The 19,383-nt window shown below is 33.0% G+C and overlaps 1 pseudogene across 1 annotated transcript; it reads left to right on the plus strand.

Moving 5' to 3' along the window:
- Positions 1 to 439: 439 nt before the first annotated feature.
- On the plus strand, positions 440 to 18,327 carry CSN1S2AP (casein alpha s2 like A, pseudogene; annotated as a pseudogene). The gene is made up of 13 exons (NR_003720.1): positions 440 to 483; positions 2,106 to 2,168; positions 3,480 to 3,509; positions 4,284 to 4,307; positions 5,585 to 5,611; positions 6,059 to 6,085; positions 7,170 to 7,193; positions 7,278 to 7,322; positions 11,808 to 11,831; positions 12,781 to 12,804; positions 14,517 to 14,640; positions 15,735 to 15,780; positions 18,051 to 18,327. The product of NR_003720.1 is annotated as a casein alpha s2 like A, pseudogene (transcript).
- The last annotated feature ends 1,056 nt before the right edge of the window (positions 18,328 to 19,383 follow it).

The following is a 19,383-nucleotide window of genomic DNA, read 5'->3' on the forward strand; positions in this document are numbered from 1 at the left end:
GAGAGACGGAAATTCTTGCTCACACAAAATGAGGAGTCACAAAGACACAAGAATTCATGTTGTGCTCAGGAAAGGGTCTGAATGAGGCATAAAGAGTAACAAGAAATGGGGCACAAATATTAGCTATGGGAAATTTGATAACAGGAGACAAGGAAATAAAAAAATACTTATCTTAAATCAAAAAACTATTTCATGAATGAGGCTACATACAAAATACAGCCAATTATTAAGTATTATAACATCCTCATTTCCTGTTATCATGTTCTAAATCAAACTGTCCTAAAGCACTCCTTGGAATTTGTGGAACAAAAATCAAGAAAAAAATTTCTAACCATTCTGACTTCTCAGAATTCAAGTGCCTTTTTAGATATTTTAAAGCACAGAATTACCCTATTATGGAGGAACAAGGTTTAAATAGTATTAAAATAACCCACTGCAGATTTTCCACTGTGTAGTCCACTGGTCTTCTATTTGGGAAACAAGGTAATATCTTCATATATTATTTTTCTTGTATTAGGTGCTAATAAAAAATATTTTAAAGCTTATTACTCTTCTGTACAATAAAAATGCAATTATTTTTAAAGGTGTCAATATCAACACACCATAAATTGCTTAAGAAATATTTTTATTTATGACAAACTTCTTTGTTATTTTATTTTTTAATAATACAATTAATATGTTATGCTTATTATGACACAGTCTTATAGGTACTGAGGTTATTTTCTGAAGTCATGACCAAGATAATCAGTTTGTATATGGCCTCTCGACCACTTTCTCCGTCTGGAAATGGGAGGCAAAAATTCTGACATTACATAGTTATTCTGAAGATTACAGATAACAGTAAAATGTCTAGCACAATATTTGCCATAGTTGTTGCTTAGTAGTTACAGCTATTTTTAATTTCCTTTCCCAAAATATTAAGAATATGTCTAATTAAGAACTAACAGTTTCCATGTTTTAATTCTTTCATCTATGTAAAATGCTATTTATAGGTAAAATTGATATAAACACAGCCATATAAAATATATTACTTCAGGTATTTATTATAAAGATAACGAAATATGCCTTACAATTGTGAACAAAGCTTTGCCTATATGAAATATGCTCTATACATATTTATTATTTGCATCTTAGAAGAATAAATAATTATTTCATCAACTATATGGTATTATTAATGATTATTTCATCAACTACATGGTATTATTATTCACTTCAAGGGTGAGATATTTTATACTATATAATGGAGAAATCTTTCAAAAATTATGCAATAAAATATGAAGGTGTAATTTGATGCCTGTATAGACACACCCTCTGTATTCACAAAGGTGTGGATCATAAGCCCATTTTGTTATCATTGGGTAAGCTTTAAATTATCCTTTAAAAATAAATTGTAAATATGTACACTATAAAGAGTTACATATATCAAAAATATTTTAGAATAACTTTAATTTTTACTTATTCATTTAAACATAAGGAAGAGAAATTTAGTGACACGTATTCAGAAAACCTTGTGGATTTGTTTATATCAATAATATGAGACATCAGTCTAGCTGGAAGGGATCTTAGAGATCGTGTAGTCAACTCACATTTATTAAATGTGTTAAATAAGGTATGGTGATGTTCACTGGCTTACTGAAGCTTTAGTGGCCAGTCCAGGGTTAAACTGGGACCTGCAGGATTCTTTATTCCCAATCCAGTGTTAATTCTATCTGCTATTTCCTATTAGGGAGCCAGGCTGCATGTTTTGACTCCTTGAAATCTGATTTTAAAAGGAGTTCCTGTTGTATTTTGTTTTTCTGATAATCATTCTTCACAAAATGCCTGTCATTGGAGATTAGCCCCAAGAACCAATGATATTTGAATGAATCTTCCACATTTTAACAAATATGCCTTTAAATTAGTCCTGTTGAAAAAAAAGTCTCTTTCAAAATAAACTATTATATTCATATTCATATTTATGAGCTTCTCAAAAGCAAATGCTTTCAATCTTCATTATCTTTTCTCAATCATCTGGTATAAAAATAATAATAGGTAAATAAATAAAAGAATGTATAAGTTTTGGAACTATAAATTATGTGATTAATTTTCTGTACATGTTTTTACAGGACCAAACAACCATGAAGTTCTTCATCTTTACCTGCCTTTTGGCTGTTGCTCTGGCACATCATGTAAACATACTGGGACATATAGTGATATCAATTCTTATTTAAGTGTATAAGAAAAATGAACTTTTTACTATATGCAGAAGATTCAGGCATTAACAGTAATAAACAGAGACTAAATATGTGACCTTTTAGTCTATGATCAATGACATTATTGACTCTACCTTAAACAGAGTGTTCAGGCAAATAGTCTTTCTACAAAGTGACTTCACTTTAGTATTGGATAGGCTGTATGTATAGGGAAAAAAGGCAGGAATTTTCCTCCGTAATATGTTGGAATATATGTTGAAATTTTCTGGAGGGATTATTTCCACTCTGCCACATGTTTCTAGAAGTGTAAGAAAGCCTCACCACTATAATTGCGGATTCCAAAGGTAGCTATCAATGGAGTAACAGAATTTCAGCATTCTTGATAAAAGTAATTAAGAAGCCATGATGATCAAATATACACAAGGACATGTTACAGAGGATGGAGTTAGTAGCTCTAGATTTTCAGTGGCAACTTTGTAAATTATTTGCCAAATAACCCAGTGAGGATACAATAATGATATTCATGTCACAAAACTGTAAGTATGTAATAGACAATACATATAAAACTGCCTTGCATACATGGATATAGATACATATATATACATACATATATACATTTTGTACTACCTATAATTTTAATCTTCTAACATTATTAGCACCCTCATTCACAGGAAAAAAAAACTCACATACCCACCTCCTTCCCACTCCAACATGTCACTCTTCCCATAAAGTCATCTTTTACTTTTATAGTGCTCAGTGTACTCTTTTATAATGCACATCCCCATATGTAAGAGATATATACATGCAGGCATTTGTGCCTTCTTAAATTTGTAGCCAACTGAGTAAATCTAAAGTGAGAATTTCATTTTTAATATGAACAGGTTGGTTTAAAAAGTAAAAAAAAAAACAATGCTTTAGTAATCAATAATACACAGGATCAATAATTTCTTCTATCTTATGCTCTACTGGTGGTTACTAGATGTAACCACTCTCCTTCACTTTTAAAAATTAAATAATTGGCCTCAATTGTTCCATTTAATAGACAAGGACTCTCAGCTAAAAATCAAGGGACATTTGTTTCAGAGTTTTCCGGGGAAATTCAGAGTAATGTTTTCATTATTTATTGACAATATTAGAAACAGAGGTAATTTGTTAAAGGAGGCCTCATTTCATTAAATTTCCCCAAGAAGCAGTGTTACAATATTTTATTCCCATTAAATAGTAGAGACAAAGATTCACATTGGTATTTTAAATTAAATTTGTGTTTGTTTTTTGTGACTTATATAGGAGATAAAGCACTCCTCCTCTTCCAGTGAGGTAAGGTACTTTATTATAAAAACACTTCTTGGCACCTGATAATACAAATGTCCTGGGTTAGTTCCATTTTTGTGATCAGTAACAGCAGAGTTACAGAATCATGGAAAATTTGAAGTGCAATTATTGCTTGAACGTATGGGGAGAATAAACTAAAATGCATGCATCCAAATGTGACAAGATTAGATTTGTGCACTTTTCCACTTGATTCTTTGGTAGTTATCCAATAACGGTGATATTAGTATGGAAGTAATGGTGTCCTTTACATATTATTATGGAGTCCATTACATATTATTATGGAGAAAGGGGCTCAGGTACACCTACATCTATATTAAGTGCTCATTTCTAAATGTCTTCTTGCTCATGGCTACATACAAGGTGTCCAAAGCTCTTTAAGGTTGGCCAAATAATTGCCATGTTATGCTACTATATATTTCACTTAGAAATCAAAGAGAGAAAAAGACAAAGAAAAAAAAACTGTGCAGAAGACAAATAAAATTATTCCTTTGCTGTTTGCTGTTAGCATTTGCAAAAATATTGTATCTGGCTTATCCCACAAGTATATTAAGAGTTCAGATCAAGTTATTTAACTAGAATATAATAATAAGTTAATTAAGGAGAGTAAAATTTTTGGTCAGATTCACTCTGTAATTCAGGAAAAGACCAAGTATTTTATCTTGAGCTACTGTATAATGAGTATGAATTGATGCTAATTTGGGTAGTATGAATAAAATATTTCACAAGTAATCAAATGTATTATTAATTTATTTTTCTAAGTAATCTGCCAGCATCTACCAAGAAGTAAGTCATAACTTCTTACATTAAATGTTTTTAAATAATTTGTCATTTTTATATAGCTATAAAATGAATATTATTTATTTTTTCCAGAAGTTTAAGCTTAACAATAATATGGTCTTCCAAACCAGTCAGGTAAAATTCATCTGTTAATGTTGTGTTTGATTAATGAGGTGTATTTTTATCAATTATAAATTATTTTCCATGTGAGTATTATTTTTTCATCTCCAAGTGTAAAGTGAGTGATGTTTGTATTGTCTTAACTGCTATGAAATTATGTGAAAGGATCACGTGAAAACATATTTGTGGCCCATTTGTGAACCAAGTTTTCAAAGCGTCATCTCTTTGAATGGAGTTATTTATGATCAATCATCTACTCTTCACCTCACTAATTCTTGACTTTTTGGATGACCATTTAATGTATTTTACTTTATGCTAAAAAATCTATATAAGAATTATGGAAAATTATGTTTCTCTTGAATCAGGATTTGAATCAATTCCAATTTCATTTTTGGAAGGACATTTGCTCCAAATTCTAGCAAGTATAAGACCTTGATTTCAAATCTGATCTTGAGTAAAGTTGAAATTAGCACATATAAAAAGTATACTTGTTGTAAGAGAAATTTGAAAAACAGGACAAAAGCATGCACTTGTCCTAATTCAATGAATAATTCAACTGAAGAATATTAATTTGTGCAAGAATCAATGAATCCACTAAACACTTCCACAGTTATTTCCAACAAAGAATAGAGACCTAGTAATTTTGTGATTTTTAATTCCTTCAGCTAATTTTTAATATTTATCTCAAAATTTTGTCTTTTAAAATTAAATACATTTATTTTTAATGAAAACTTTTATAATCTATCTGCAAATCACAGGTTTAAGTCCTAATTATGTATTTCAAATATACATTAAAATGTTTACAGTTATTTAAAGTTAAAAATAATTATCCAGCTGCAGACTAAATTAATTTTGTGTATTCACTTATTCATTTAACAAATATTATTGAGGAAGAACTGTATCCCAAACAATATTCTAGGCTCTGAAATACCACAGCAAATAAATACAACAAACAAATTCCCTCCCTCATGGGGCTTACATTTGAATTTACTACTGTTGGCACGTTTATTATGAAATGAACAATTTTGATATAATTCTTTCAAATCCCTAAAATGAAAATGAATGCTTCTCTCTGTGGTAGGTGGGTTTTTTCTTTACATTCAGTAGAATATACCTTATAAGCAATGCTACAGGAATAATATGTCTAATTCTTTTTTAACTAGGAAACTGCAAATAAAATAGATACGATGGTGAGATATTTTTATTCATCTGAACTATATTTGATTGACAATATGTATACCTAATATTAAATATTAATAATAGTCTGTAACATATCTGGAATATTCCTCTTTTAATAATCCAGAAATTATTTTTAAAAATTTTTTTAAATTATAACTTCATCCTGCATCCATTCTTTTTATTCTCTTAAATTTGCCCTTATTCTCATAATGGAGATACTTCCATTTAAATAACAGATTATGTGAATCCCTCCCATTTGTTTTGCAAAGATGATTCATAATAAGAACCTATGAAACCTGATTATATTGTTTTTATTTCAATCCTTCTTTTGATGTTTAGTACAATGATGAAGTAGGTAATTAATGTGGAACATATCTAAAGTAACTACTGCTATTCAAGGATTCAATTTATTCCTATCACCAAATTATTTTATTTTTATTTTCATTTCAACTTATCAGCAATCTTCTAGCAGTTTATCCAGTGGGGTAAGATACTGTTTCTTTTAAAATCAAAGAAATAGCAGCTTTCTAGTAGTAGTATACAATAGTTTGATAATTTACATCTAAACACTCAAAGGGAGAAGTGGAAAAATCACATACATGACTCAAAATCATTTTGAGTGGCTGAAATTGACTATATTGAGAATTATTATTTATTCTGCCCTATTCTCTCTGCAAATGTATACATGACTCAATAGGAAATTGCATTTTTGTGCCAATCAAGAGCTTGCCAATTTCCTTCAGCATCATTTCTCTTTGGAAACCCTCTCAATATTGTTTAGCACAGCAGCTCTCAAATGGTAGCCCCCAGATAAGTAGCACCACAGCACCTGGAAAACAGTGAGAAATACAAAATCATAGTCCTCACAGCTGACTTACTAAATCAAAAACTCTGGTTTGGAGCTAAGCAATCTGTATTTTAGCAGGGCCTCTAGGTGATACTGATACACATAATACTTTGAGAACCACTTTTAAAAAGATTGAATGAAGATTTGGGTTAGGAATTGTGTAAGTCACCAACCCATGAAACATTCTGTGGTGGCGAGCCAGGTTGTAAGAGTGCCCTAGAATAGCAGGCAGTGTCATCGTGGATTATTGTCCAGTGTCCCATGACCTTGGACAAAGCCTAAGTTCTTTATAATCAGTGCCTTAGGAAGCTCACCTTAGTCTTTCCTTAATTTTAAGTGTTGATCTCAATCTGAGAGCCTTGAGCCATGTCTGTCATTTCAACAAAAAGCATGTAGGGTTTAGTTTATTACACCCTCACCAGGTCTATTTTGCATATTTTTGGTCACCTGCCTGTACTCTGTAGTCATACGAAATTGCCTGAAAAATGTTAAATTAATAAAGCATTCAAAATAAAACACATTTTAGTCCTTTTATTATGTTGACAGAAAAAGTCCTGGTGATAAATAATGTCACATATTTAATTCTTAATAAATGAGAGTATCTTAGTGCTAGTGGGTTGGACCCTGAATAATTACTCATCCCTAACTTTCTCCTAAAATTATGTAGAGACAATTATCACTATGTCATTCAAGTAAAGCTATTTATCATTTTGCTCCTTTAGGAATCTGCTCAAGTATCCACTGAAGTAAGTCATTATTTAAATAAAATTAATACCATTAGTAACATTTTTATTTCGTATTTCTCTAATATGTCCTTTGGGTTTCAATAGAACAATGAACTGACTAAGGAAGGAAGGATCTACTTAAAGCACATGGTAAGTTTTTCATACAATGTATTATTTCAAGTAAAAGAATATATTTCACAATTATTTCTTCTTCCAAATGATCACATCATTTCTTCTCAATGAAATATTTAGCACCACATTGAAATATCTAGCACCACACTTATGATAAAATTACTTTTTCCTGTTGTTGTTACTGTGATACATAAATACTATGTTAACAAATATATCTAGAGTTATCTTTTAAGAAAAATGAGCAATCCAACTAAATTTGGAAGAATTACAAACATAATAATAAATTATTAGGCTGGGCATGGTGGTGCATACCTGTAATCTTAGCACTTTAGGAGGCTGAGGAAGGAGGATTGTTTTAGGCCAGGAATTCAAGACCAGCCTAAGCAACATAGCAAGACCTCAACTCTCAAAAAAAAAAAGGAATTAAAGTGATCTAATGGAGACATCACCGTAGTTTAACAAACACAAAATTCATCACTCAGCTCTATGAAGTAGCAACAGGAATTTATAAGCTTTTAACCACTTTCATTCTAAGCCATAGGAAATCACATAACTCATCCTCTGTGGACTAGAGAAATGTGCAGTGCAAGGAAAGAGGATAGGCTTCAGGGTCAAGTGATTTCCCTTCCAACTTCAGCTCTCTAAGTTATTATTTAACCTCTGGACCTTACATTTTTCTCGACTGTAAATGAATTTAGTAATACTAATCCTACAGGTTTTTATGAGGATGATGCTAGATAATATAGGTAAATTATATAATCAATTACTTGAAAAATTTCCAAGATGTGCCAAAAGTAGCAATTATTATTAAATGTATACACAGACAAAAAATCCATTTTAAATCTTGGTCATGTTAAAACAAGATATCTAAAATAAAACTATTTTATTTTTAGAAAATTCTAATTGCCCTGATAATCTTTTTTATACTTTGTCTAAATAAATTTAATTGTATTCTTCCCTTGTTGGTTGTAATCATGTGTCCGTTTAAAACTTAACCCTGAGCAATTCAAAAAACACATGTTTTACATACCTATTTACTTATCATCTGTATGAACTGGAAATTCTCCAAGAGTGAAGATGCCATTTTAAATTATTCCATCTTTAATTTCTACAGGAATTTTTGGTTAAGTATTCACAGCAAAATCAAAGTAGAAACATACTAGAAAATTTTTCAGATGGACATATGTGACAGGTACTATAAAAACCACTCTTCATATTTCAATCCATATAAAACTTCAAGGTATGTGATGCTTATGAGAGGTAAAGCAACCAGTCCAGGGGAAAGGGAATATAAATGAGATGTCCCTACTCCAACTGCAAAGCTTCTTCAACCGGATGTGGAAAAATGAATGAAAAACTAAGACAAATTTCTTGATGAGCCTCCACTTCCCTTCACACACATTCTTTTGCTTTTTACACTCAGTAAAAAGCTTCACTTGAACAGGAATACTAAAATAGCCACATGATTTCTTTTTATTTATTTATTTTATTATTATTATACTTTAAGTTTTAGGGTACATGTGCACAATGTGCAGGTTTGTTACATATGTATGCATGTACCATGCTGGTGTACTGCACCCATTAACTCGTCATTTAGCATTAGGTATATCTCCTAATGCTATCCCTCCCCCCACCCCCCACCCCACAACAGTCCCCAGAGTGTGATGTTCCCCTTCCTGTGTCCATGTGTTCTCATTGTTCAATTCCCACCTATGAGTGAGAACATGCGGTGCTTGGTTTTTTGTCCTTGTGATAGTCTACTGAGAATGATGATTTCCAATTTCATCCATGTCCCTACAAAGGACATGAACTCATCATTTTTTATGGCTGCATAGTATTCCATAGTGTATATGTGCCACATTTTCTTAATCCAGTCTATCATTGTTGGACATTTGGGTTGGTTCCAAGTCTTTGCTATTGTGAATAGTGCTGCAATAAACATACGTGTGCATGTGTCTTTATAGCAGCCTGATTTATAGTCCTTTGGGTATATACCCAGTAATGGGATGGCTGGGTCAAATGGTATTTCTAGTTCTAGATCCCTGAGGAATCGCCACACTGACTTCCACAATGGTTGAACTAGTTTACAGTCCCACCAACAGTGTAAAAGTGTTCTTATTTCTCCACATCCTCTCCAGCACCTGTTGTTTCCTGACTTTTTAATGATTGCCATTCTAACTGGTGTGAGATGGTATCTCATTGTGGTTTTGATTTGCATTTCTCTGATGGCCAGTGATGGTGAGCATTTTTTCATGTGTCTGTTGGCTGCATCAATGTCTTCTTTTGAGAAGTATCTGTTCATGTCCTTCGCCCACTTTTTGATGGGGTTGTTTGTTTTTTTCTTGTAAATTTGTTTGAGTTCATTGTAGATTCTGGATATTAGCCCTTTGTCAGATGAGTAGGTTGCGAAAATTTTCTCCCATTCTGCAGGTTGCCTGTTCATTCTGATGGTAGTTTCTTTTGCTATGCAGAAGCTCTTTAGTTTAATTAGATCCCATTTGTCAATTTTGGCTTTTGTTGCCACTGCTTTTGGTGTTTTAGACATGAAGTCCTTGCCCATGCCTATGTCCTGAATGGTAATGCCTAGGTTTTCTTCTTGGGTTTTTATGGTTTTAGGTCTAAGATTTAAGTCTTTAATCCATCTTGAATTAATTTTTGTATAAGGTGTAAGGAAGGGATCCAGTTTCAGCTTTCTACATATGGCTAGCCAGTTTTCCCAGCACCATTTATTAAATAGGGAATCCTTTCCCCATTTCTTGTTTTTGTCAGGTTTGTCAAATATCAGATAGTTGTAGACATGCGGCGTTATTTCTGAGGGCTCTGTTCTGTTCCATTGATCTATATCTCTGTTTTGGTACCAGTACCATGCTGAGGTACAGGGTTCATCTCACTAGGGAGTGTCAGATAGTGGGCACAGGACAGTGGGTGCAGTGCAACATGGGTGAGCCGAAGCAGGGCGAGGCATTGCCTCACTCAGGAAGCACAAGGGGTCAGGGAGTTCCCTCTCCTTGTCAAAGAAATGGGTGACAGATGGCACCTGGAAAATCAGGTCACTCCCACCCTAATACTGCGCTTTTCCGATGGGCTTAAAAAACAGCGCACCAGGAGATTATATCCCGCACATGGCTCTGAGGGCCCTACACCCACAGAGTCCCGCTGATTGCTAGCACAGCAGTCTGAGATCGAACTGCAAGGCAGCAGTGAGGCTGGGGAAGGGGCGTCTGCCATTGCCCAGGCTTGCTTAGGTAAACAAAGCAGCTGGGAAGCTCCAACTGTGTGGAGCCCACCACAGCTCAAGGAGGCCTGCCTGCCTCTGTAGGCTCCACCTCTGGGGGCAGGGCACAGACAAACAAAAAGACAGCAGTAACCTCTGCAGACTTAAATGTCTCTGTCTGACAGCTTTGAAGAGAGCAGTGGTTCTACCAGCATGCAACTGGAGATCTGAGAATGGGTGGACTGCCTCCTCAAGTGGGTCCCTGACCCCTGACCACTGAGCAACCTAACTGGGAGGCACTCCCCAGTAGGGTCAGACTGACACCTCACATGGCCGGGTACTCCTCTGAGACAAAACTTTCAGAGGAACGATCAGACAGCAGCATTCGCAGTTTACGAAAATCCGCTGTTCTGCAGACACCGCTGCTGATACCCAGGCAAACAGGGTCTGGAGTGGACCTCTAGCAAACTCCAACAGACCAGCAGCTGAGGGTCCTGTCTGTTAGAAGGAAAACTAACAAACAGAAAGGACATCCACACCAAAAACCCATCTGTACATCACCATCATCAAAGACCAAAAGTAGACAAAACCACAAAGATGGGGGAAAAAAAAGAGCAGAAAAACTGGAAACTCTAAAAAGTAGAGCACCTCTCCTCCTCCAAAGGAACGCAGTTCCTCACCAGCAACGGAACAAAGCTGGACGGAGAATGACTTTGATGAGTTGATTTCTTTAATTCTAAAGTTCACTTTTTGAATGTAAGCACTATGATATTGAATAGTCCAGATATTAAATTCTGTACAAGATTGCCTTTATTCCAAATTATTATTCTTTATGCATCAAATTAGAATTACAGAATTAGAGAAAATAAAAAGTGCAGCAATGACAAGAATAATTTGTGGATGCCGACTACAACTGTAACATTCAAAGTTAGCCAGATTAGATTGGTACAGGACCAGGTTCTAGAAAAAAATGTTCAATACCATTTCTTTTGCTAGCTGTCATTGAATAACAATATTCCTTCAGGAATCATGGTGTCCATTCTCAAATTTGTAAACTGGATAAGAGGAATTTATTATATGTTTTCCAAATAAAGATTCAACTTTATACATTGTTAATTTTCAAATATATTTCTACTAATAGTGCATAACATATGCCTAGAGATACCCTGAATATCACCTAATGATTTGCCTAGTTTTGTTCTTTTGTGAAAAAGTGGTAAACTGCATGGTGGAAAGTAATATCTGAATTGATATATAATTAAGATGTCTTATCTTTTCTTTTTCCTAAGGAATCTACCAGCATCTCCCAAGAAGTAAGTCATAACTACTAAAATTAAATAAAAATTTAAAGTTATCTTTTATTACATAAATTTTAAAAAGTTATTTTTATTTCATAATGGTTATGATATAACTGTGCCAAAATGCTGGGATTACAGGCATAAGCCACCACGCCCAGCCTGAACTTCATTTTTTAATACAGCTCAGTATGAAATCTAGAGCCTGCCAATTGCTTTCACTAAAGTTTTACTCTCTCAATATTATTTAGGAGATAACTAGTATTAGTTAGGAGATAATAAGTATCATCCAGTAGGGTGAACTATATGAGTTATTTGGTGACTGCCACAAGAAATACCTATTGTAATAGAAAGAGCCAGGTAGGTGAGCACAATTGGAAAAGGTCCTGGGGAAGGGGGAAATACGGATTGTGAGCTGGAGTCTTGTGACCTGAGGCACAGTACAAGGTCTTCCTTATCGGTGCCTTAGGAAGCATATTTTATTCTTTCTTTCAATCTCAGTATAAGAACCCATATCACTCTAGAAACGGCATGTGAGCTTTGGTTTACATCACACCTCACCTGGCCTATGTGTTCATTATTTTACCTGACTACTCTCTGTAGTCATTTTTACTGTCTGAACAATGCACCTGGATGAAGACTTTGTAATAACACATATCTTTAGAAATGTGTCATTGTTAACACAGAGTGTGTGCTCTAGTAATGAATGTTTTATTGTAATGATTCTTAATTGATTTCTCTAATCGGTGATTAAGATCACTTCTCATTAACAATGACGTGGCTCTGAATTTTTCTTTTTTTTTAATTATACTTTAAGTTTTAGGGTACATGTGCACAACATGCAGGTTTGTTACATATATATACATGTGCCACGTTGGTGTGTGCTTTAGCACTTTACTATAACTAGTTACATGCAATTACTGGTGTGTCATACAAGTAAAGCTGATTTTTAATTTCTTCCCTTTAGGAATCTGCTGAAGTATTCCCTGAGGTGTGTAATTATCTTTGAAACAAAATACAATTAATATTATCCAGTAGTAATTTCTTTTGTTTTCATAACAGTTGTTTTTGGTTCTAAACAGAAAATTAAGTCAAATGAAGAAAAGAACTACCTGAAACAGCTGGTAGTTATTTCATAAACTTACAGTGCAAATAAAGAAAAAAATATATATATACACACACACATATATATACATGTATATACATATATATATATATATAAAATCTCAACTCTTTCTTCCCCTCAACTTTCACATCACTGAATTCCAAATAAATATTTAAAATCAAATTTAAAATCTATAGTAGTTCTGTTATTGTTGTTATCATGGTATGCACCTTTCTTTTCAAATAAATATGAATATATCTTTTAAGAAAAACAATTTTAATCTATTGTTTTTTGAGCAATTGCAAATCTCAAAAAATAATGTTTATATTTTAAATGATTTAATCAAGGTACTAGTATAGCACAACTGTATTCCAACTTCTCTTTGACAGTATGTTATGACCTGATTTCTCAAAATAAAAAACTATTAGTGATTATTTTCAAGCCGTAGTTCTTGTAGCCAATCAGTGTGGTCAAGAGGCTTATGTATCTCAGTGAAAGGACATGGGCTTTGGAGTCAGGCAGTTTATTTTCCAACTGCAGCTCCACCCTTTTTTATGGCTGTGACATTTTTTAAGTACTTTGTCCCTCTCAATTACAGTGTCTTCAATAAAACAGTGAACATGTAAATATACTTCTGACTTTAATTTTTTTGGAAAGGATCATTTCAGGTAATACATGTAAACTGTATAATACAATAAATGTACTACAGCAGTAATATTAATATTATGGTCATCATCCTCCTAGACACAAATTTCTTGTAAAATTTTTGTAACAGGAGTACTATTTGCTTCAATGTTCTCAAATTAATTCTCCCAACTGAAAACCTATCTGGTTTCATAAGTTCTAGTTGCTATGAAAATCTTTATACTTTGTCAAAATGATCCCAAAAGAATTCTACCATTGTATCAGTTGTATATCATAGTCATGGATCCAGTCAACACTTACTGTATGTTCATAAAAACTGGAAATTATCTTGTGTAAAGTTGCCATTTTAATTCCATCTTTATTACCTACAATAATTTATAATAAGGTTTATGAAGAATGCTTAAAGAAAGAAGTTGGATGTAGGGAGCATCCATTGTACATAAAAGAAGTGATCAGCACTAATCAGAATGCTCTCTATATATTAACTTAAATAATTCTGCAATGCAAATGATGCTCAGAGAGCTTAAGCAACAAGACCGCTATCATAGATTCCAGTGAGTAAAATCACAAAAAATTATGCTGAGCCTCTCTGACTCTAAGGATTATATACAGAACAATAAATAATAAACTGAGACACATATCTGTAATTCAAATAATTTTCCTCTTGGCTTCTTACATATAAATTTATTTTTTTCTCTTAGACATCTTTGTGTGAGTGTCAGAATTAGAGACTCTCTTTAATTCTGAAGAATTCTGAAGTTTACTCCATAACATATAAATATTTACAGTGATTTTTACATAAGTAAACTCTCCTTTTGCTGGTTCTACCTGGAATAATTTAGCAGTTATGTAAATAGGCAAAGTTTTAATTCATTTGCTTCTATGTAGCTCTCTTTTGAACTCTGGGAGAGATTAAATATGGGATAATTATTAATAATTTTATTTCTTTCTAGACGAAAACCAACCAGTTTCTCCAGAAGTTCACTGTCCCCCAGTATGTCCAGGCTGTTCCCCTTGTAGTCTATGAGCCTGTGGAATCACATTCAGGAAAACACCTACCCATATATTCCCATTTAGGTATGTTTGCCCTTTTAAAAATATATATAATTATTGTGTTTTGTGAAAAATGAGATAAAAAGAAATGAAATTTAAAAAAGAATCTAAGTTATCACGTAGAAGTTAAATCAAATTTAAATCAAAATGTTAAGGCCAGTAATGAAATAAAAATCATACGGTTCAAATACAACTGCAATCATAATGCTAGGGAAAAAGAATTGCATTATATTAGATTTTAATTTTCTAAACATTTGTGTATATATTCTCTTGATTTTTACAGTAATCCATTGAAGTAGAGAGATAGAAGTAATATTAATTTTACAACAGATTCTGAAATTAAAAGAAGTGGATTCAATTTTCCAAGCTATATTTAATAGTTTACCTTCATTTAATAAGTCTTTTGGCTTAGGATGCCTTTTCTTTAACATAAGAAGTAAATGGTAGAGCAGGAAATTGAATCTAAAAAGCTGAAATTGGCTGGGCGCGATAGCTCGCCTGTAATCCCAGCACTTTGGGAGGCCGAGGCAGGCAGATCACCAGAGATCAGGAGTTCAAGACCAGCCTGGCCAACATGGTGAAACCCCATCTCTACTAAAAGTACAAAATTTAGCTGGTCATGGTGGCGGGCGCCTGTAATCCCAGCTACTAAGGCAGCTGAGGCAGGAGAATCGCTTGAACCCCGGAGGTGGAGTTTGCAGTGAGCCAAGATCGCGCCCTTGCACTCCAGCCAGGACAACAACAGTGAAACTCCGTCTCAGAAAAAAAAAAAAAAAAAAAGAAGAAAAGAAAAGAAAAGAAAAGAAAAGAAAAGAAAACAAAACAAAAAAGAAAGCTGAAAATTTAGCATAAATATTAATAATTTAGCATCAGAAATCCTAGGACTGGGTCTGAGTCTGATAATTCTCTGAATTCTATTTTCTATTTTTATTTTGAGATGTGACTGAATTTCTTAGATAGGCATGTAACATTTGGAGGACTTTATCATTATCATTATAGAAAATAAGACTTCTATAATTTAGGTTTGAATGTTAGATGTCTAAAATTGTTTCTAAATATTTCAAGTGAGATATAAATAGCCTTTGTACATTAAAATGCATTATTCTTTTTCTTTTAAGAAGAACATGTAAGATTCTTGAATTAACTGCTGCAATTTGAGCTTGAGTAAGTACCTTTAAGACTAGTCATTGAACAAAAATTTAAGTAGGATCTTCACTTAAGAATACAACATCAAAGCAATAATTTAAATACTTTAGATAAATTCTCTTTAAATCAGAGATTGGCTTATAAAATACTTTAACTTTTGCTATACACTTTTTGATTCACAAAGAAGAGTTATCTGTGTAACTTACAGGCATATGGTTTTTTGCAAATTTTAAAAAATAAACTATAGAAAATTTCCTCTGTGAACTGGATGCATTTAACCAGAAGTAATGACTCTTAGAAGAAATCTTCACAAAGACAAGTGGCTACACTGGTTTACTTTAAAGTTTGCCTTTTGATTTTCACTCAACATTTCTGCTTGGAGAAATATATATATATATTTTTAGTAGATTTTTTTAAATTTTACAATTTGAGCTACTTTATACAAATTTTTTCTGCAGCAATTTCTCTGGGAAAACTCATATAGATATAGATATAGATAAATATATAAAGCCTACTTTCCTACTTGCCATCACTGTCATTCCCCTTGAGGTTCCGATCTAGATTGCATTTGCCTCCACAGTATATTTAGAATCTGACAGGTCCTAATGTAAATTATGAGTTAATAGGTGCAGCACACCAACATGGCACATGTATACATATGTAACAAACCTGCGCATTGTGCACATGTACCCTAGAACTTAAAGTATAGTAAAAAAAAAAAAAAAAAAAAAAAAAAGTCTGACAGAGCGTCAAGTCAATGGTGACTTATAGTCGTGGTTCACTTTATCTGGTCTCCTTTTTTCCTTATGTTTTCATTATAATTATTAGAGGTTTCTCCATTCTGAAATTTAGTCGCCCTCAGTTTATCTCCATTGTTCTATCTACATCTCCTAAACTTAAATGGTTGTTCAAAACCTATATGCATAGATGTGTATAATAATAAGTATACATCATCGTGACAGAGGGTGCAACAGCAAATCTGATAATAATAGCTGACGTTTTTTGAGTGCTTCGAGTGCGCCCACCACAGTTCTAAACTTTTTTCCAGTATTAACTAGTTTCATGGTCACATAACACTGTGAAGTGGTTATCATTATTAACTAATGTATAAAAGAGACAAGCAATGCACAAAAAAGTTACATAAATTGCCCATGATCATATTGTATGTGATAAGTGAAAGAGCCAAGATTCCAACCTAGTGTCTGGCCCTAGATTGCTTCCTCTGAAAGACTCAACTACTGAGGCAACCCCGTATCCATGTCAGGAGTTCAAGAATAATGTGAAAGGGCATTGGTCTCACAGCTTGATTCTATTTTTGTTTGGTTTTCCTGACAATGGAAAGAGATCAAGCAACTCTTCCAAATAACCTTATATGAGAAAAAATAACACCATAATTGTTATGGATGAGAGCTGAGGTTGTAGTTGTATTTTCTGAATAGTGATATCCCCTTTGATGTCATTCATTCTGTATTTTGAAATTGCTTATCATGAGTCCCACAATATGAGAAACTTGGTAAAAAAAAAAAAAATGAGATACTGACAACCTTCCTTAACCTCAGTTCTAGAAGGGTAAATAGGTTTACAAAGAAGTTTACTAAGTGCAAAATTAGAATTGTGAGCATGATACTGTGATAGAATAAAAAAATCAGTTGGATCAGATTAAGACCTGAACCTTTAGGTAAACCAGAAATAAACAAAGCAAGGCAATGCCAGAAGAATATTATAAGGCAGAACTTAATTAAATCTACAGAATGTTTACAACATAAAACTATTAATAAAAAGATTTCTAATAAAATAGATTACGAAGACTTTACTTTTCAAAGGTTTTTAAAATTTTTTCCAAAAGGACATTTTCCCAGTGTAATTATTTGACAAATCTATAATCCAAATACATCAAGAAATACTCAATGTAGGAAGTAATATTATATTTTATGTCTAGTAAACTATTTGGAAATTAAGAAAATGTTTCTTCAAAATTGGATGAGAGATGTAAATATTTCTTATTTAATGGGAGCATTAAATAGAATCTTTATTTGCATAACACAGTGAAGAGTTTGACTATTAACTGTCAATCATTTAGTCATTTATAAAATAAATATTAGTAGCCTACTGTTTTAGCACTAGAAAATATCAATTAGTAATAACTATAATTATATTATATTACACTATCTTGCATGTTTGAATGTTTATATGTATTTTGTGCACAAGTATTTTACATATTATATGTAGTATGTGTTTCCTGGAATATAAATTTTATAGATAATCCAATATTTTTTCTTTATTCATAGGTATGACTAGAAAAATCATTCCTTTATAATTTCTTCATCTACCACATCACCTCCTACTAGCAATATATTTTGGCATGCTTCTTGAAATGTCAACAGTATTGAGCCAAAAGAAGACTGTGTGGAACATTTTCCATATTGGTTATGATATTTTTAATTTGTGTTGGATATGCCAGATCTGAATTGTGGTATCATATTTACTGTATTGATGATTAAATGAGGTCTTTTCTCCACTATCTCTGAAATATAGAACTGTATATCAGTTGCCAAAACATTAAAATTTCAAACAAAGTTGTAGCTAGTGTTTTGGGGTTTTTTTTTTCCATTCCTCATACTTAGAGAGACCAGACCACTATTACTAGAATAAATCAGCTTGAACATCACTGAAATAACTTTATATACATTTGAGGCCCTTAATTTCAAGGTTGACTCTCATATCACATGTATTTGAATGTTACATACTTATGGGTCTCAACAACAACTGTATCCTAAGCACTTACTGGCCCTCATTCTAACATCTCTCTAGTTTGTCCCTGCTTCCATCTATCTATCCCATACAACTTTCTCCAGAGTTCTCAAGTCTCCAGTCTGTGCCTGGCCAGTTAATAATCTGCAATATCATTCCATAAAAAGTGGTTTAATCACTAACAAAGTACAGCTTTGAAGGCCTTCCCTCAGGGTTTAGACTTCTTTCAACAAACATTGAGTACCTATGATACGCCAGGCATTTTTCAATATGTTGTTTTATAGCTGAAAACAAAAACAATATCTTGGCTTTATGGCCAAGATTACATTTTAATCATTGGAAAAAGACAACAAACAAGAAAAGAAGCAAGACAGGGTATGCCGTGTGGTGATAACATGGCATGTGTTATCGCCATGTGGTGATAACCTAAAGAAAAATAAAGTAGAGCAATGGGAGTGTATTTTACATAGGGGTGGTCAAGGAAGGCAATTTGGGCAAGTCAAAGTTTGAGCAGTGAAATGAAATTAGTGTGAGAAGGAGCTGGAGAAGTACCGTTCCAACAAAAGAAAAGTAAAAGAAAATTCACTGAAGTGGGTGAAGGTGGGAGGAGTGAAGATTATCTTGGTCTTGCAATTTGCCTTAAGCAATTGGTTTGAGCTGGTAGCTGAGAGTCATTTGCAGGTGAGCATCATTATATAGCATATTTTTTGAAAAGATGAATAGGGTAAAAGATAGGGGAATATGTATCGGACTTCAAAGAATCCTCCAATTCCTTAAGGTTTCCCTCATTGGATTCAATTATTTCTTTTTTATTATTATTATTATACTTTGAGTTCTGGGATACATATGCAGAACGTGCAGGTTTGTTAC

This window comes from Homo sapiens, chromosome 4, assembly GCF_000001405.40.
Source record: "Homo sapiens chromosome 4, GRCh38.p14 Primary Assembly".
Lineage (NCBI taxonomy): Eukaryota > Metazoa > Chordata > Mammalia > Primates > Hominidae > Homo > Homo sapiens.